This window comes from Homo sapiens, chromosome X (genome assembly GCF_000001405.40).
Source record: "Homo sapiens chromosome X, GRCh38.p14 Primary Assembly".
Lineage (NCBI taxonomy): Eukaryota > Metazoa > Chordata > Mammalia > Primates > Hominidae > Homo > Homo sapiens.
The window spans coordinates 149,926,453-149,945,145 of NC_000023.11; the positions used below are offsets into that span (position 1 = coordinate 149,926,453).

General features: G+C 53.9%; 2 protein-coding genes and 1 long non-coding RNA gene across 24 annotated transcripts in view, besides 4 other annotated features; 2 read left to right on the forward strand and 1 right to left on the reverse strand.

Moving 5' to 3' along the window:
- Positions 1 to 3,079: 3,079 nt before the first annotated feature.
- Positions 3,080 to 12,039, reverse strand: EOLA2 (endothelium and lymphocyte associated ASCH domain 2). 22 transcript variants are annotated; one of them, XM_017029593.3, is made up of 7 exons: positions 11,741 to 12,039; positions 10,981 to 11,028; positions 7,925 to 8,121; positions 7,553 to 7,685; positions 7,170 to 7,451; positions 6,137 to 6,315; positions 3,080 to 3,629 (listed from the first exon to the last, which is right to left on the reverse strand). In XM_017029593.3, exons 5-7 carry the CDS (start codon positions 7,420 to 7,422, stop codon positions 3,621 to 3,623), a joined length of 441 nt encoding a protein of 146 aa, XP_016885082.1. In that variant the 5' UTR covers positions 7,423 to 7,451; positions 7,553 to 7,685; positions 7,925 to 8,121; positions 10,981 to 11,028; positions 11,741 to 12,039; the 3' UTR covers positions 3,080 to 3,620. The 22 variants fall into 22 exon arrangements, with proteins under 22 accessions (XP_016885082.1, XP_024308159.1, XP_047298135.1 ...); XM_024452391.2 differs by lacking the exon at positions 7,925 to 8,121 and having other exon boundaries at positions 11,944 to 12,039; XM_047442179.1 differs by lacking the exon at positions 7,925 to 8,121 and having other exon boundaries at positions 10,962 to 11,028; positions 11,944 to 12,039.
- HSFX4 (heat shock transcription factor family, X-linked member 4) lies at positions 3,121 to 4,835 on the forward strand. The gene is made up of 2 exons (NM_001351114.2): positions 3,121 to 3,675; positions 4,135 to 4,835. Exons 1-2 carry the CDS (start codon positions 3,193 to 3,195, stop codon positions 4,651 to 4,653), a joined length of 1,002 nt encoding a protein of 333 aa, NP_001338043.1. The 5' UTR covers positions 3,121 to 3,192; the 3' UTR covers positions 4,654 to 4,835.
- Positions 12,040 to 12,095: 56 nt separating the features above from the next.
- Positions 12,096 to 18,693, forward strand: part of EOLA2-DT (EOLA2 divergent transcript) — a 78,240-nt gene continuing 71,642 nt past the window's right edge. The window contains exons 1-5 of the long non-coding RNA NR_027456.1: positions 12,096 to 12,334; positions 14,207 to 14,434; positions 15,338 to 15,395; positions 15,732 to 15,877; positions 17,566 to 17,648. This is a non-coding gene — a long non-coding RNA (EOLA2 divergent transcript). The remainder of the gene's footprint in view (positions 12,335 to 14,206; positions 14,435 to 15,337; positions 15,396 to 15,731; positions 15,878 to 17,565; positions 17,649 to 18,693) is intronic.
- Positions 12,485 to 12,754: a silencer, noted in NCBI's record as "silent region_21046". NCBI's record gives its function as "represses an Ori minimal core promoter by ATAC-STARR-seq in GM12878 lymphoblastoid cells {active_cell/tissue: GM12878}" and the evidence as "EXISTENCE:reporter gene assay evidence [ECO:0000049][PMID:35858748]".
- Positions 12,865 to 12,944: a silencer, noted in NCBI's record as "silent region_21047". NCBI's record gives its function as "represses an Ori minimal core promoter by ATAC-STARR-seq in GM12878 lymphoblastoid cells {active_cell/tissue: GM12878}" and the evidence as "EXISTENCE:reporter gene assay evidence [ECO:0000049][PMID:35858748]".
- Positions 13,225 to 13,284: a silencer, noted in NCBI's record as "silent region_21048". NCBI's record gives its function as "represses an Ori minimal core promoter by ATAC-STARR-seq in GM12878 lymphoblastoid cells {active_cell/tissue: GM12878}" and the evidence as "EXISTENCE:reporter gene assay evidence [ECO:0000049][PMID:35858748]".
- Positions 13,935 to 14,044: a silencer, noted in NCBI's record as "silent region_21049". NCBI's record gives its function as "represses an Ori minimal core promoter by ATAC-STARR-seq in GM12878 lymphoblastoid cells {active_cell/tissue: GM12878}" and the evidence as "EXISTENCE:reporter gene assay evidence [ECO:0000049][PMID:35858748]".

Genomic DNA, 18,693 nt, shown 5'->3' on the forward strand with positions numbered 1-18,693 from the left:
CACGGCTCTTCTAGGCCTCTTTAGGGTTAAGGCATACTCCCTTCTGAGAATTTCTGGTCTAACCGGTTGTCTAGCTTCACATCCTGTTTCTATGGATTGTTTGTAACCAGCTTTTGCTGCAACTGTTACTGCTGATTAATATCTTGCTAATCATAGGTCATGGAAAGACTGTGTTTCTGTTTTAAGGCTCTGTTAGAAACTACTGATGCACACACTATATCATAAATTCTTATCCCTGTATACTGTACTTCTGCATACAGATGTTATGTTAAAGAATTACTTCATCCCCATGTGACCATCTCACCTCATAATCAAATGACCCTAAATCCCTCACTAACCTTCCCCTGCCCTCTCACCAAACTTAATAATAAATGCCGGTATATCCAGTGCGTTGTTGGCACCGTGGGAGCAGAAGGCGGTGACCCCCCTGGACCCAGATTTTGCTATCTTGCGTGTGTCTATTATTTCTCGACCTGCCGATCTGCCTGGGAACAAAGAGAGAGCACCGTTGCATTGCAGACTGCTGGCCAGATCCCGCAATAGGTTGAGAGTTGTCTTACCCAGGACCCAGCATCAAGCAAATGCTGAGTGAAGGAGGGTTAAGGGCAGGTGGCATGGCGGATACCTGAGTGTGTGAGAAAGAGCAGCCCAGTGGCTAACGAGGCTGGGAAAGGAAGGCCTTGGAAGTGTGAGGAGGTGGTGCCTAAGCAACTGACAAGTTCCGAGCCACAGTTTAGAAAGACTCCTCTGGGGTGGGATGAACCAACTGCAGGGACACATCCTGGAGCCTGGGAGAGATCAGCAGGGAAGAAGATCCTGAGAGGCCACGGGGAGGATGAAGAGGGCCTGGCAGATCATGTGACAGGCAAGGCCTACACAGCAAGTCTTGGCCTGTGGCTGGCCTCATACCTTGGGGCCCCACCATCAAGAGCTCAGCACTATTCTTGATTGCTGCATAGCTACAAAGAAGCTGCAGCGAGTCAGCACTGAGACCGCTTTCCACAGGGCCACTGGTCCTCATACCATAGTCAGCTGTGCTCTGCTTGGGTCGCCTGACCATGATGATTTTATTCATAATGCAGCAACGCAGAGGGGCCATCTCAGGGGCTTTTGGAGCATGGAAGAGAAGACCAACCATTTTCCTCAAAGTGGCTTGCAGGTGGCAGGTGACTCATAAAGAATGTCTGAATGGTTGCTGAAAGTTGCAGAGCTCATCTTTGGGGACTGAGCAGGCTTAGCCAGAGGAGGCTGGATTTCCCACCATGACTCTTCTTGACTAGACTTAAGTCAGTGCCCTGAATATTCCCTCCAGGGGACAAGAGGAGCTTGATGTCTTAGACTCGAAATCCCAGTGTACATTCTGTGACTTAAAACAAAGGACAATGGTCGCTAATGGTCCTATAGAAGCCACATGACATAGTGTGACTAAATCAAATCAATACCAGCTCTTGGCTGAATGCCACCGTGTAGTTTCCCTAGTAATTTTCTTCATGATAATTCCCCTCCCACCCAATGGCCAAAAGCCTTTATATAAGTAATCAGCAGAGTTTATAAGTTCGCAAAAGCCACAACAAAATGTCATTCTCAGTCTTAAGAATTCCCCTATGAAAAAGCACTTTGGTATGTAAGTGAAAGATACCAGCTGTCTAACTGAATACTCAAGGATCCTCATTTAGAGATCTCACCAATGGCCTCTATTTTAATATTTAGCCTCAGAGTGTGTGTGTCTACAGGTTACACTGAGTCCTTGAACAAAACCTTTGTAAACCTGTTTAAAAAGCTTGGTGACCATGAACCAAGCCTGCATCCAGGCATTGGGGGCACCATGAAGGATTAGAGAGCCCTGAGATTGAAAAGCACCTTGGAAGAGCCTCTTCCAACCCTCTTCGCACTCAGGGCCGACCCTGAGTGGGCAAAGGGTGCTACTCAGTGGGACAAGGACCCAGGGTCCTTTCAGTCTGGTGCCTTTCCACTGTATCACTCTGTCTCCCTATACAGAGTGAATATTAAGAACAAAGTTGTCTTTAATGGCTAGAGAAAATGTATCACCAGAAAGACTGTTGTATCCTCTCATCTGGGGTTGAACATGGCTTTCATTTGGGTTTTCTCCCTCCTCCTGCCCACCGCAACACACACTCATACGCTCATCTGTTTTCAAATACATAATGATGGAACTTTTGTGCTGGATTACTTTAGTCAGGTCTAACTAGACAAGCAGAAACTTTTCTTAGGCTAGTCTGTGTAAAGCAGGCCTCAGAAATGAACATGTCTTGGGCAATGAAAACAGTATTTATGGGCAAAAATGAAACTAAAGGTAATCTCCTGTTGTGATCTGCAAGAGGGTGAGATGCAAGGGCAAGCAGAGCTCCACAGGAGACTCCAAAGCACAGCTGAGGATGTGGCCATCCAACCACAAATGATGCTCTGGGTAACACAGTGGTAGACGAGTGAGGGGAGTGCTCCCACCATGCTCAGGCACAGCACCACTCTGGGGACAACTTGACCAAGGGGAATAAGAAACACTTTATCTGGGCCCACTGGAGCACATGCAACCAATCATTAGGAGTACCTGGAAGAGACCAAAGCAGGAAGGAGATGGGGGGATTGGAAAAGAGGGGTGCTACCACACAGATCAGGCCAAACAGCCTGGTAGGGACCACCATCTCCTAGAAGGCAGTCACCCATGAGGGGTCCATCTGAGTCAGGCAGTCTTGGTGAAACCCAAGCTAGGGATAACTAGGGGCTGGCTCTTGAGCAAATTAGAGGCCAGCAAATGGCCTCCCCTGTCTTCAGGGTTGGGAGTGGCCATAGAGCCATGGTTTCTCAGCTCATCTGGGGCCTGGCCCTTTGACACAATGTGACTGTCAGAAGATGGGAGACTTTTCTGGGAACTTGAACCATGCCTGTTTATACTTTTAGAAGAGGGAGAAGCTGAAGGCCATGCCACCTGTCTACTCCCCCAACACCTGGCCAGGGCCCCCTCTCCAGATTGGCTGAGAGCCACCTTTGTGACATCATGCGACAAATACAGCAGATGATGAGTTAAGCCACTGGTTGCCCTGATACCGAGACTCTAGAATTTTGTGGACAGTATTTATTGGGCACGCCTACTCTGACTGAAGGCATTTTGGACTTGCTAGGACAGTGATAAGGGCCTTGGGTACAAAATGCTCCTGATTCTGGTGTAGCTCCATGGCGAGTCAGAACACTGAACAGGAATATGAAGCCAAGCTGGCCCCATCTGTTGGTGGAGAGCCAACAAGCGGGGGCCCATCTGGTTCTTCACCTGATCCAAATCCAGATTCCAGCGAGGTTTTGGACAGGCACGAGGACCAAGCCATGAGCCAAGATCCAGGCTCCCAAGATAACTCACCACCAGAAGACCGAAACCAACGCGTGGTCAACGTGGAAGACAACCACAACCTTTTTAGGCTCTCCTTCCCAAGAAAGCTTTGGACGATTGTGGAGGAAGACACATTCAAGTCTGTGAGCTGGAACGATGATGGAGACGCCGTGATCATCGACAAGGATCTCTTCCAGAGGGAGGTTCTTCAACGGAAAGGTGCAGAGAGGATCTTCAAAACAGACAACTTGACGAGTTTCATTCGCCAGCTGAACCTCTATGGATTCTGCAAAACACGCCCAAGCAACTCTCCAGGAAACAAGAAAATGATGGTAAAGTAGAAAGCATTTCTGTAATCCCTTTTCTCTCTTTCTCAAACATATCTTCATAGGACACCAATTTGAATAATATACTGTAAGAGCTTAAGTGTCAAAGATAGCATTTGAAAATGTGAAATATTGTTTATTGAAAGATGAAAAGTATAGAACTTAAAAAGTATGGATTTTGATATTAAACTGCAACCCCCTTAGAGATAATGTAAGCATCATATTTTGCAGACCTGCATATTACCTCTACGGGGTTGCAGTTTAATATCAAAATCCATGCTATTTATATATTACTGCCTTGATCTATGAATTGTTTATCTTTAGTCAGGTCATGCTGTAGAGCATAACCACACTTGCTGCCACTTAAAGCATTCTTTTCTCCATTGCAAAACAAAATCATAATTTTGAGAGGTGGGAAAGGAATAATTTATCCCAGAACAACTAACATGTTTCATTTTGTTTCAGATCTACTGCAACTCCAATTTTCAGAGAGACAAGCCCAGGCTCCTGGAGAATATCCAGAGAAAGGATGCCCTCAGAAACACCGCTCAGCAAGCGACCCGTGTCCCAACTCCAAAGAGAAAGAATCTGGTAGCTACAAGACGCTCCCTACGTATCTATCACATCAATGCCAGGAAAGAAGCAATCAAAATGTGTCAGCAGGGAGCCCCCAGTGTTCAGGGGCCCAGTGGCACCCAGTCCTTCAGGCGCTCTGGCATGTGGTCCAAGAAGAGTGCCACTAGGCATCCCCTGGGAAATGGGCCCCCTCAGGAACCAAATGGCCCAAGTTGGGAGGGCACCTCTGGGAATGTCACATTTACATCTTCGGCTACTACCTGGATGGAAGGCACAGGGATTCTTAGTAGTCTGGTTTACTCAGATAATGGTAGTGTAATGTCTTTGTACAATATCTGTTACTACGCTCTGTTGGCCTCCCTCTCAGTCATGTCTCCAAATGAGCCCTCTGACGATGAGGAGGAGTAGGAAGGCTCCTCAGATTACAAGTGTAGACTCTGTGAACAGTTCAGACACACTGCAAATTCGTGAACTCACAGGCCACTAATGGCCCATAAAAGTTGCCATTTTCTAATGAGAAACACATTTTTGGTCTTAATAAAGAAAAACAAAATTCCATGGAAATAAATAATAAACAATTTAAATGAGAACTGTTGTCTGTGTTTTTTTTTAACCTTCTATATTATATACATCTCATTGGCAGAAACCAGGGGAGGCTGGAAATCCTGTCCAAGACAGGCTTTGGTCCCCATTGTCCTCGTTTATTTGGAGAAGCAGCATTTTCACACACTCAGCAAAGGATGTTGCTAGGAAGTGTCGAGGCCAAGCCCAGGAAGACCTGGTCCCCTGAGATTGGCCTGCTGGTCAGGAGAAAGAATAGACGCCTGATTCCGGCAATATCTTCCTGTATCTTCAAACAGGAGATTGTTTCCTCATGGGTCCCTCCCAATGTTGCCAGGAAGTGTCTGGTCAGCAGCTCAGCATCCCTAGCCTAGCATCCAGGGGCCTCCAAAGAGGCCCACTTGAAAGTCAGGCCACCCCATCTGCCATGGGATGTACAACCACCATAACATCCTGGCTCAGAAGAGAAGGGCCACTGCAGTCAATACCTGGGGGGAAATGCCCATCATCCTCATGGATAACAACTAGAAACTTTGCTAAATCACCAAAAAAAAAAAAAAAAAAAAAAATTACTACAAAATAAAACAACACTACTGATCACATTTCCAAGTTAACCTCACTCTACTAGAGCTGTATTTTGGATGTATTGCTAGGATAGGAAGTAGCTGTGTGATGCAGGTAACACACATGCTTCAGAAACTGACAGACACTTTCAGAAGAGTGAGAGTAACCTGAAAGGACAGACAGCTGCTCTAAGTCTGACGTCCTCTTCATCCTGGATGAGTCGGTTGATTAACGGCTAGTCACTACCAGGCAAACATTCAGTGCCAGGTCCCAGACTTTCTGTAATGTCGCCTGGATGCTAGTTACACATTTGATGAGTTTTGACCAGAACAAATCAGGGGAAAACATAGAACAAAGCCTCAAACACTAACCAGTCATCTACAACACATTTATTTGTACAATCCAGAAACTAGCAGGACCAAAATTAGCAGCAATGCTGAGACATTTACTGGCAGCTTTGCCTTCTACCCTAAGGTCAAAGTACTTGAGACATTGCCTGTGTGCCTAAGGAGGCATCACACAAGGAAAGCCCCACCCCCTACTTCCTTCATCTGAGCAAAGGAACCTGTTTACATGCACAGTGCTTAGTGGGTGGGACTCTCCAAAGCAGTGGAAATTCATCTTTAACCTAATTTATACAGGTCTGCGTCACGATGGCAAATTGAAGGTGCCATGATTTAGCTGGTTTCTCTGGAACATTCCTTTCAGGAGCCCACACTTGTCACACTTCATGCCCCAAAGGGATCAGGTGCTCTGGGATGTCTACCTGGAATACATCCTTGCCTCCTTTCCTAGGTATGGGCTCCAGTAACCACCTGGGGTTTGAAATCACAGTCAGGTACTTCTGCTTCAGGTTGGTCAGTGCAGCTTGATTTTCTAGTTCCACAACCTCATCGGGAGTTAAGTCTTCGGGGCATTGCAAAGTTTCCCCAATGTCAACGAGTCCTGTACACAAAGAGAGATACACATGAATGCCTTTCACTTCCATAGCCCAAGGCCTGCCCATGTGACAACACAGTTACTCAAAGTCACAATCAATAGAGAGTAAGACAGCATCAGCAAAATGACAAGAAGGGAGTCAAGTCCTTCTTCCGTAGCTTTGATAACGAACCAAACCCGATTCAGGAAACGCTGGGAGAGGCAGGGGGAGGGCTCCAGAAAGGCAGAGGAGAGGGCCTTGTCCTCATGAAGCCACACAAGTAAGAGGCAGGTCCAAGCCAGACTTCTGAGAGCAGCGGTTGCAGATTGGAAGGGCACCAGCCACTGCCTGGGAAGCTACAGGTGATGCCTGAGCAGGTCACCAGGGGACAGATGCTGATGTCGGGCCTCAGTCACCTAGAGGTTAGGGGACTTTCCCAGGGTGCTGTGAGTGGTGGGGCTGGGGCAGGTTCATGAAGCCAGGCGGGCAGCCCAACTCTAGAGGCCACCTGACCCATTCGGCGGGCTGGGCTGCTTTTCATGGTCTCTGCCACACATGTGCACTCACACATGTATGTGCAAATACACACAGCCAAACACCACAAACACCATGTGCACATGGCCCTGACCAGGCTTCTCACTGAGATCAGAAACAGAACTGCGGCCCAGAGTGGAGAAATGATTTACCAGAGCTTGCGGAAGCCAGCCATACCAACCCCCAGCCCAAGGTCCTTGCCGCCCCTTTGAAGGTGTGTTGCCAAAGGAAACTGTGTTATACACGCCAATCAGTTCAGATGACAAGAGAAGCCCCCAAATTCCCAAGCAAGATCTTGGGCAGCAGCCCTAGGCGTTGTCTGCGCATTTGGTACATTGTCACTTACCCGCTATCACTCCTCGACCAAACTTTTCCCCTTTCCTGAGCAAGGCCTGAATCTGAGCAGGAGTCATCCCGAGTCTCTCCACCAGCAGCTCCCGACAGGCATCGCCTTCCCAGTCCCTGTGAGCAATGTGGACGGCGATGGTACAGTTCCGCTGGCTGCTCAGCAGAGGACGCCAGCGCGTCTCCACAGTCTTGATTCCATTTAAGACAAAGCCAGCATAAGGCTGCCGGAAGGAGAGGCAGCCAAACTTCATCTTCGCAAGCGCCCCGGGCCTCCCGTAGCCTGCGGAAGCACAGAAGCGCATCACACGCCAGCCCTTCAAGCTCATGGGCAGTGGCCTGACCTTCCCCCCGTGTCTCTCAGGTGGCCTAAATCGCACTGACCTTGATGGTCTGCTGCTTCCGTCTGTCACTGATGTCGAGCACCACAGCAGGCCCAAGGGAAGGGGCTAGGATTCGGCTGACTCAGGTCCATCCCATGGAGTCTTTGGGGCGGTCCGGAGTAGGGCGGGGACAGCTAGAGGAAGGCACAGGCAGGATAGCATGTGGTCAGTGCTATGACAGAGGTCACCGAGCCCTAGGGCAACACAGAGGACAGAGGGCCCCCTCGGCCTAGCCAGAGCGGAGAGTCGGGGCTGGTGTTAGCCCTCTTCCAGCACAGAGGGACAGTCCCACGCTCTGCTTCTCTTCCCTTTCCCCTGCTGTGCCCTGCCAATACTCTCAGTGCCCTGGCCCTGCCGCCACCAAGGCACTGACCTTCCCAGCTCCTACTCCAGGGCTGCTGAGCCCACATCGTTGATATCCAATCTCAGCTCTGTCCTCAGGATGCACCGTGACCTCAGATGGCCCTCAGTCAGACATCTCCTCTCCACCCCTCTGGGTGCCACCTTCCTCAAGCCCCTTCCCCCACCACTGCTCTCCACTGTCAGCAGACGCCCCTGTCCCAATCTGAGCTGAGAAAAGAAGAATGATAATCAGAACAACTGGCAACCCCCCACACATGCCTTCCACGTGCCAGCCTCTGGGATGGCATGATCTTCAGATCATCAAATTGAATCTTCAAGTAACCCAGCAGGGTCAGTGGTACTGTGAGGCCCACTCTATGGCTGAGGAGAATGAGGCACCAGCCCACAGTCACACGGGCTCTGACTTCCCACAACTCTTGCCCAGCCTCCTGCGTGTGTGGCTTGGGAGAGGGTCCCCTCCTCTTGCACGGAGGACAGCCCTGTGCCTTGGAAGGAACCCTGGGCTTGAAACCAGAACCTCAGCCCAGTCATAGACTCTTGAGATGCCTCAGTTTCCACATGGCTGTGAGGAAGGGAGATAAGGCACCAAGAGCACCCAGCCCAGTACGTGGCACCTAACAGAACAGTCAGAAATAGTGGCCGCCCTCACCCCTCAGGCCCGTGGCCCCGCCCCCTGGCCCTGAACTCCACCCTTGAGCTGCCCCTACTCCTCTCTCTGTCCTTCCTTTCAACACATAAACGCAACCTCTAGTACGCTCTATGATTTTAAGAAAATATACCCACCCTCATGAGACAAAGCCCTGATAGGGCCAAAGCTGCCTGGTATTCACTCCTTTCCCAGTCTGCACTGCAGCCTTCTGAGCTCCAGATCTCCTGCTTTTCTCCCGCCTCTGGGGTGAGCTGCCTCAGCTGAGCCGGTTGCCTGCTGTGCTCTGGACCCTGCTCCTCTGGCTCACTCCGGGCCCTGGGTGCCACCAGCCACCATCTATGCTCGCTCAGCATCCCTACTCTGAGCACACGCGCGCCTCCCACTCTGCCTCCCTTCTCTACAACCCTGAACAGCCGAGACCTCAGAAGAGCTGTCTACATGCGCAGTCTCTACTTCCTCTCTGAACCTTCTGCCCCCACCCCCACCTTTCTCCCTTTATTCCCCACCCCCCCCACCACCCACTCCACTGACTGACCTATCCCCACAAGCACCCATGGCCGGCCTCATGCCAGTCCTGTCTTCATCTTAGTCCATGCTCAGCAGCCCCAGCATGGCTGGGCACACTCCTTCCCTTCTTCTGGGACCCCCATGTTGCTCACCGTCCTGCTCTGAATCCCGTGGTGCAGGCCACCCCCCTTCAGACTCAGCCTTAGGTGGACAGGCCCATACATACTCAGGACCCCAACCATCACCACCAAGTCCACCTCCCTTCCACCTCTGTGAGTGGCATCACCAGCTACAGTGTTCCTGCCCCAGACCTAGCTGCTCTCTGCCCTGCCTTTCTTTCCCACATCTGCGGCCCACATCCCGTGGCACTGTGTCCAAAACCGACACTGAATCTGATCCCTTTCCATAATCTCTATGGCCACAATCCCAATCCAATCCCCTAAAACCCCCTGCCTTCTGAAGAAGTCTCCTGATAGCACCCCCACCCCCCCCCAGCACTTGTCCTCTGCACTCTTGTGACCACACTGCCATCGGAATGATCTTGGTACAGGGACAATGAGATTATGTCACTCCTCTACTGAAACCTTTCAAGGGCTCCCTGCCCCAACTAGCACAGAATCCACACTTCCTCTCAGGGCACTCAAGGTCCCTCCTGATCTGGTTTCCCACCCCAGCCACGTCCTCTCCTCTCCCCTTTATTCACCACCCTGAAGCCACACAGGCCTTCCATCCCCTGAGGGAACATGCCAAGCTTGTTTCTACCTCAGAGCCTTTGTCAGTTGTGATGGGTTGCATTGTGTCCTCTTAAAATGCGTATGTTGAAGTCCTAAACCCCAGCACCTCAAAATGTGGCCTTATATATAAAAACAGAGTCATTACAGAGGCAATCAAGTGAGACTGAAGCCATCAGGGCGGACCCGCATCCAATGTGGCTGGCGTCCTTATGAAAAGGGGGATTTGAGAGACAGTCACGCACACAGGGAGAACACCATGAGAAGATAAACGCAGAGATAAGGGAGATGCTTCTACAAGCTAATGAGTGCCAAAGATTGCCGGCCAGCCGCCTGCAGCTAAGAGAAAGGGACAGACCAGATTGTCTTTCACAGCCCACAGAACAAACGAACCTGGCCACCACTTTGATTTCAGACTTCCATCCTCCAGAACTGCGAGACAATGATTGTCTGTTCTTTAAGCCAGCCCCTTTATGGTCCTTTGTTTCAGCCATCTTGGCAAACTGCTGTTCCCAACACATCTGCACAGGCTAGGGCACGAGTTTGCCATTTGACAGCACATCAAGCCCATTCTTTCCACCTGACAATCTTCATCTACCTTGTTTTTCACTGCCTGGGTGATATCCCATTGTTGGTCGTCTCATAATTTGCCTGACCATTCCTCCACTGATGGAGAGTTACAAGTTGCTTCCCACTTTTGCCACTAGAAATGACATTACTTCTAACACTCGCTGTGTGAAGACATGCTGAAGGAAATGCCTCGGCCGCCTGGCACGCCCATCTAAGATGCTGATATCTGCCAGCAAATGACTTTCCACAAAGACTCACCCGTGTACCCTCCACCAACCCATCCATGGTGCCATTTCCTCACACACTTGTGGCCCCTGAGCATGATTATTCTTCTGATGAGTGACCAAAGATAACCAGGTTCCTTGGTTCTGGATTACTTCTGACGGAGGCTGAATGTCCCCCACAGGGCCTGGCCACTTCCATCGGGATAAATGGCTACAGTGAATGTTTGCCTCTTTTCTGCCGCCCAGTTTCTTAGCCAACCCTTTTCTCGTCATCACCACAAAATCACAACAACTGTGTGTGTGTGGAATCCCTAGTAGGAACTGATGTAACTGAAAAGGCAAGAAGGGGGTTGAGTCCCCTCCTACCTGGTGCTGCAGAGAGTACCTGCTTTACGGCCAGAGGAGGAAACACTCTTCCACTTGGTTTCTTTACCTGCACAACAAGGAAGATAAAGAGGAAAGGTCATTAAATGCAAGTCAGCAAAGCTGGTTAATGGCCCTAGGAAGGTCTTCTACTCAGCAGGCATTGGAAACCAAGAGCTGGGAGGGCCGGTCCTAAGAGTAACACATGTGCACCTCACTCACGGTTTGGTTCTGCTAATCAGAGCGGTGGGACCCTCCACATCTGTCTGGGTCACAGGGTGCACCAGTCCGCAGAGCAGAAAATCATTTCAGCAAGTTGAGTCACATTCCTACAGCTGAGCACGCTCCATCCGAGGGGAGAAAAATCACACTTCCCCTCCCATTGTCATCGGACGAGGGTTTGGGGGGCCTAAATCCCATTGTCCACTGCTTAATTCTGGTTAGGTCATGCTGAGCACGGGGCCACAGGCCACAGAGCTATGCACCGCCCGGCCTGGGGTCCAGGCGAGCTTACAGCACAGGGGCCAAGCGGGAGGCAGGGAAGACCGGGCCGAGATGGGGCCGCTGTGTGTGGAGCAGCACTTGCAGACGCAGGTCGCGGGTACACGCGCTTAGAAGGAGGGGGGCCGAGACCATGGGGAGAGCAAGGGACACCAAAGGGCGCTTCGGGCGCGCCCCGCACGGGTTCTCTGCCCGAAACCCAGGGGAAAGAAACCCCAGCCCGCAAGTACCGTCTGCAAGAGGGCCGAGCACACGGGCTCCGGCATCAGGGGCCCTGGTACCTTTCAGCCGCGGCCGGTCTCACGGCCTCTGGACCCTGAGAGTCGTGGGCGTTCAGGGCCGACTCTGGCTTTTGGCCTCAGAGTACAGTCCTCCGCCTCCTCGCGACCCAGCGAGGCCACCGGAGCCAGCGAGGAGACGTGGGCCGCGGTGAGAAGAGAGAGCACCCGGCTCGTGTCAGGGCTGTAAGGTAGCTGCCGCTTACTCCCGGAAACCGGTGGCCAGTGACAGATGCTAGCGGTCCATAACTTCGGCTTTCATGCAGCTCCCGTCGTCCCTTTCATGAGGAACGTACGTGTGCGCGTAATCACGCACGTACGTACACCACGCACGTACGCAGGAGGCCCGTATTCAGCCACGCCTATACACCGCCAAATCGCTAGGAAGCCACGTATTCACGAAGCCACGCAGTGACGTCGCCACGCACGTACGCACGCACTTGCCACAAGGAGACGCTGTTCAGTTTACCGGATCCTGTCCCGCGCCAGCCAACCAGGACAAGGCCGGGGAGCTCGAGACAGGCAGCCTAGACCAAGAACCGGAAGGAGGAAAAGGAACCGGAGGGAGGAAGAGGAGGGGCGGGACGAGACCACCAGGCAGGATTTTTAAGCCCAGAGCTGCGAGACCAGCAGGAAGGAACTGGGAGAAACCAATGGGGAGGGGATGGGGGCGGGGCTGAGAGGAGGAGGGCGGAGCTGGGGGAGGGGAAGGGCGGGAGTGAGGAAACCGCTGGGGCGGGGTTGAGAGTGGGGCGGGGACTTGAGGGGATGGGGCGGGGACTTGGGATGGGGCGGGGACTCGAGGGGGTGGGGCGGGGCTGAGAGAAACCATTGGGGGCGGGGCTATGGGCGATCTGGGCGAGGAGAGGCTGCAGGAGGAGCTCGCGGACTCCTGAGAACCAGCGCGGGGAGGGAGGGGGCTGGTGAGAGGAGGAAGGTGGGGCTGAAAGAAACCAGTGGGGAGGGGTTGGGGGCGGGGCTTTGGAAGCTGGTGCTGGAGAAGCAGGGCAGGGCTGGGGGAGGAGTGGGGCGGGGCGGGGTTCGGGGGGGGCTGGGGCTCGGGGAGGGGTGGGGCGGGGCTGAGGGAACCGCCGGGGAGGGGCTCGGGGGCGGGGCTTTGAAAACAGCCTTTGGAGAAGCGGGGCTGGGGGGGCGGGGCAGGGCCGAGGGGAACCTCTGGGGTGGGGCTGGGGGGTGGGGTTTGCACGCAGCCACAGGAGAAACAGGGCGGGGCTCAGAAAAGGGTTGGATCGGGCTGAGAGAGACCGCTGAGGGGGGTGCTGGGGGCGGGGCTTTGGAAGCACCCGCGGGAGAAACAGGGAGGAGATGGGGAGAGGCGGGGCTCGGCGCGGGGCGGGGCTTCGGAGGCAGCCGCGGGAGAAGCAGGGGGGGGTTCGGGGCAGGGCGGGTCTGAGCGAAGCCATTGGGGAGCGGCTGGGGGCGGGGCCTTTTAACCAGCCGCAGGAGGAGCCGGGTGGGGCTGGGGCGGGGCGGAGCTGAGAGAAACCGCTGAGGATGGGCTGGGGGCGGGGCCTTGGAAGCAGGCGTTGGAGGGGCGGGGTAGGGCCGGGCCGAGAGAAACCACTGGGGAGGGTCTGGGGTCGGGGCTTTGCCATCAGTGGTGTGAGGAGCAGGCCGGGGCAGTGGGCAATTGAGCGAGGAACAGCTGCGGGAGGACTCCGCGGACTCCTGAGAACCAGCTTAGGGGAGCGGCGGCTTGGGGAGGTGTAGGGTGGAATCACGAGAAAGCTCTGTGGGAGGGCCTGGTGCACAGCTCAGCTGCAGGGTGGAGCTGAGGGAAAGCCGGGCGTTCCTGGAGGAGGAGCAGGGCGAGGCTGTGGCAAAGCGCTGTGGGAGCAGATGGGGCGGGGCTGCGGGAAAGAGCTGGAGAAGGAGGAGCCAAGCTGCACCAAGGCTGGCGGGTGAGAATTGCGGGGGAGGAGCTAGTGCAGAGCTGGAGGAAAGAGCTGAAAGGTTGTTGGGGTGGGCAGAGGGGTAGGAGAAGCGAGACGGGGCTAGAGGAGGCGGAGCTGGGAGCGGTGATGAAGGGGTAGCAGGGCGGGGCAGTGGGAAAGAGCTGTGGGAGGAGGAGCTGGGGGTAAGAAGCTGGGGCTGTGGCTGCAGCGGGGACTGGGTCAGAGCTTCTGGAGGAGCCGCCTGCAAGAGGAGGGCGTAGTTGTGGGAAAGAGCTGTGGGCGGAAATGGTTAAGTGCCGGGTGGAGCAGGGGCTGGCGTCGGAATAGCTGGGGCGGAGCTGCGGGAGGAGGAGCTGGGGGGCGGAACTGTGGGAGGAACAGCTGGGGCGGAGCTGAGGGAGGAGGAGCAGGGGGGCAGAACAGCTGGGGTGGAGCTGTGGGCGGAGCTGCAAGAGGAGAAGTTGGGGACGGACTTGCAGGAGGAAAAGCTAGGGGTGGAGCTGTGGGTGGAGTTGGGGGAGGGAGCTGAGGCCCTTCTGTGATGCACCCTTAGGCAAGAGTCCAAACTTTCCCGCGGCGACCTAACTGCACCTCCAGTGTCTTCCCCCAGAGGGCACAGAAGCAGCAAGAAGGGCGGGAACACTTGACTGGGGTCCATGCAGCTCTAGGCTGAGTCTTGCAGGGCTGAGCCCCCCAGGCCTGCTCTCCTGTGTCCTGGCCGCTCCGTCAGTGCCTGCCAGTGGGGTCCAGAGGGACCGTTTTTTTAACGCCTCTTTTGCAGGTAATGAGAAACATCCCCACTCTTAATGTCTTGCCTCCTCCGGCCTAAGTCGCCCAGCACACAGCCCAACTTCCCTGGCAAACTTGCTTTTCAAACTCTCTTCTCTCAGTCACGGGCTCAGGTTCTGTAGTGCTGCCATGCTTTACTCCTCTGTCCCTCCCCTTATCTAGTCTCCCGCATTGACTTCATAACCAAGTTCTGGGTCCCTGCCTCTGGAGTGCCTGATGAGACAAAACGGCTCCTCGTCCTGCATCCCCGCTGCTACTTCCAGAATTCAGGCCTCGTGGTCTGGAGCCTGCACTGTTCCATGAGCCTCCTGAGCAACCTGGAGTCCTCTGTCTTTCTTCCCTCAGGTCTGTCGTCCACATTCCATCGGCTCAGTTTCTAAGTCACAAATCTGTCCCCAGCAATCCTCTAGTGAAAACGCTGCTGGGCCTTCTCAGGTTTAAGTCCTAGCAGTTCAGGGAGTCGGCTCAGCTCTCCCCACCCTTAAGCCAAACACTCTTTGGGTTCACGCTGTGCTGTTCAGTCACTGGTCCCCACCAGCCTGCTGTTCCAGGTCTCCCTGCTTTGCACCGGCGGTTCCCATGGCCTTGTCCTGGTGCGCTCCTGGCCTCCTTCAAGGCACAACTTTAAAGTCACCTTCACAGCCCCACTCCGAGTATTAGAGACTTTCGTCTCCAGCTCTGATAGCATTTTGTACCTCCCCTGTCCCCACCCTACGTTAGGCTCTTGCAACCCAGGGTGGTAATTGCTCTGTAAGACTGTGGCTGCCGCAGGGTCTCTTGAGTTCCTTGAAGGCAAGGCCGGTGTTTTACTCATTTCTGAAACTGGGTGCCCAGGGCACAGTATCTGCTTAGTAAGTGTTGAATGAGCAAAGGGCAGCTTTCTTGTTTTTTCTAGTGAGATGCGCCTACTTCTCCCTGGAGAAGCTTGAGGAAGCAGAAATGCTGGAGATGAGGTGAGGAGGAGAGGGTCCCTCTTTATGGGATGTAGGCCGTAGGGCTGCAGGGGACCTTCAGATCACCAGTTCCAAGTCCTATGTATGCTAGCATCCCCTCCTGGGTTCCTTCCCCACAAGAATGGTTGCCAGCTTCTGCCGAACACCCCAGAATCTGCTTAGAGTGGTTTCAGATCATGAATGAGGATCCCCGGGATGGTGGGTGGCCGTTGCTCCTCCCGTGGCCTCTTGTTTGAAGAACTAGAACTCGCATAATGAGCTGGATAGCCACCGTGTGGCTGCTAGCAGGGAAGCCCTTGGTGGCCACATAAGGGCTCCCTTTTCCAACTCTCTCAGCTGCTCCTCACTCTCACTCCTGGGTGTGCTGGGCAGTGGGGTGCAATGTGCACGTAGGTGCACACTCTCCCTGGGCGGCAGCGAGCAGCAGAGGTCTGATCTGTGGTCGGATGACGAGAGGAAGTGCAAGTAAAGCAGCTGCAGCGGTGAGTGGGCCTAGGAAGAATGGCATCAACAGGCCAGGCAGGGATGCGGGTGGTGTTCGGCTAACCCTGAGAAAGGGACCAGAATGCACCTGAGTCTTGATTTTCATTCCCAATAGCAGGTCAGCACGAAACCCAAAAACGCTCTGATTTCTGCCTTCCATGCCACACTCTCTTCACCTGCTGCCTTCTCACTCCTCTCATTAACAATGTCCTGGCAGGAACAAGACTTTCCCCTCCCTCTCTTCTCGTCTCTTAGCAGGTCAGGTCGGCCTTCACCTCCCTAGACCCGTCCTGCTCCTGCCTTCCCCTGTGGGGCCCTCCATGGATGCTCTGGAGTCCCGGGCAATAGTCAGCCAACTGCAGACATGCGGGGCCTTCTTGGGTTCCTTGCTGTGCTCCCTTGAAACCACTGTGCCTGACTGCACCCCAGTAGCACACACTGAACTGACCCCCACTCCTGGGGCCAGCGGTGTGTCTCCTCAAGTTCTGCTTGCTTCTTCAGGCCTTGCTTGCATGCCTATCGTGCCACACATCATATCTCTTTTAGGAAGTCCTTGCCTTTTCCAAAGATCCTGCTTTGCAGCTGACTGTACCCTCTGCCTGCCTCCCCCAGGATACTGCCTCCTTCCTGAAACCACAGCCCCCGCTCAGGTCTTCCTTCCTTCCTCATCACCAGGGAGCCCCCTGCAGAGCTCCCGGTCCATCCTGGTGGCCTTCTGAGCCTCACCTCCCCTTCCTTCCCCTCCCATCCCTTCCCCTCCCCTCCCCTTCCCTCTCCCCGCTTCCCTTCCCTACCCTACCCTGCCCCCCCACCCCCTGCCCCCAACCCTGCCCTCTCCTGCTCTGTCCTCTCCCTCCATGGCAGGCTAACCTCCCTGGCTAGAGCTGTCCCTTGCGAATTTGCCATCACCTTGCCTCTCTGTGCTCAGCATCCCCGGCTGTGCAGTCCTTCTCTTCTGCCCACATGCTCCCCTAGAGAAGCATTCTTTTTGCTCAGCCTAATTTCCGTGCAACTCCTCCTGTTTTCTGAGCCTGTCACCGCCTTCCTCTTCCTTTGCCTCCCCACTGACACTTTCCAGAGTGCAGCCACCTCTCCTCGCTGTGCTTTTTTGACTCTGAGGCCCAGGAGGAAGTTGCCCTTCTCTGGAGATGGTTCACGTTTGATCCTGCCTAGTGTTCCGGGGCACGGCCAGTCTGGGACCGCTTTGACCCTGATTCATGGTTTCCCTTCAGATGCTTTTTGGTCAGCCTGCTTTCCTCGTCTAGGAAATGGCTTTTGCCCATTTTTCTTTTTCTTTCTTTCTTTTTCATTTTTTTTTAGACGGAGTTTTGCTCTTGTTGCCCAGGCTGGTGCAATCTCGGCTCACCACTACCTCTGCCTTCTGGGCTCAAGCGATTCTCCTTCCTCAGCCTCCTGAGTGCTGGGATTACAGGTATGCGCCACCATGCCTGGCTAAGTTTGTATTTTTAGTAGAGATGGGGTTTCTCCTTGTTGGTTGGACTGGTCTCGAACTTCGACCTCAGGTGATCCACCCGCCTCGGCCTCCCAAAGTGCTGGGGTTACAGGCGTAAGCCACCGTGCCTGGCTTGCCCATTTTTCTATTGAGTCATTTGCCTTGTTGGTATGGAGTTGTAGGAGCTCTTTCTGAATTCTGCCTCTAACCCCATGTTGGCTTTTTGTATTTCAGAGACCTCGTCCGCACAGGGGCTTGTTCTTCTGTGTCTTTGCAGGGCTGTTTTGGACTCAGTATTCACCTAAGCACTCCAAATTGTAAGTAACCCCAGAGATCATGGAGTGTCCCACTGCCCCTCCATCTGAAGGCTGTGACCTCTCCCCCAAGGAGGAGGTGCTCGCATGCGTCCAGTGCCCTGCCCATTAGATTAGGGAGGGTTCCCTTTTTTGCTCTCTTGCACTCATTTGTCCGCCTTTTAGCTTTCCTTTTCTGCCCTGACTCTCACAGGGTCGTGCGGATGTGCGATGTAGGAGGAGGAGAGAGGTAAAGTGGAGGAATAGGAGCTGGAGGGGAGGAGGAGAGAAGAAAAGAGGAGAAGGAGGGGGAAGAGAGGGAGCGGGTTCAAGGAGGGAAGGAGGAGGAGAAGGAGAGGAGGAGGAGATGAGACCAAGGAGAAGAGGTGAAGGAGGAGAGGAGGACACAGAAAAGAGAAGAAAGAGGAGAGGAGACGGAGAAGAGGAGGAGGAGTAACAAAGGAGGAAGAAGAGGAAGAGGACTAGAAGAGCAAGTAAGGAGGAGGAGGGGGGAGTAGGAGGAGAGGAGAAGGACAGAAGGGGAAGGAGAGGCAGATGTGGAGGAGAGGAGGTGGAGGACAGGAGGGGATGAGAAAGAGGAGGAGAAAAGGAGAGGAGAGGGATGAGGGGGGAGGAGGAAGAGAAAAGAACAGGAGGAGAAGAGGAGGAGAAAAGGAGGAGGAGTGAAAGAAAAGAGGAGAAGGAGAGGAGGGGGGGAGGACGGGGAGGAAGGGAGAAGGAGAGAAATAGGAGGAGGGAGGAAAGGAGGAGAGGACGAGAGGAGGAGCAGAGGAGGAGGAGGAGAGGAAGGGGAGGAGATTTGGAGGAAGAGGGGAGGTGGAAGAAGAAAGGAGAAGGCGGAGAAGAGGAGAAAGCAGAGAGGAGGAGGCTGAAGAAAGGAGGACCAGGAGGAGAGGACGAGGAGGAAAGGAGGAAGAGGAAGAGTGGAATAAGAGGAGCAGAGGAAAAGGAGGAGGGGGTTGGGGAGGAGTGGAGAGGAGAGGAGGAGGAACAGAGTTGGAGGAGGTGAAAGAGAAAAGAGGAGAAGGAGGAGAGGAAGAGAGAAGGA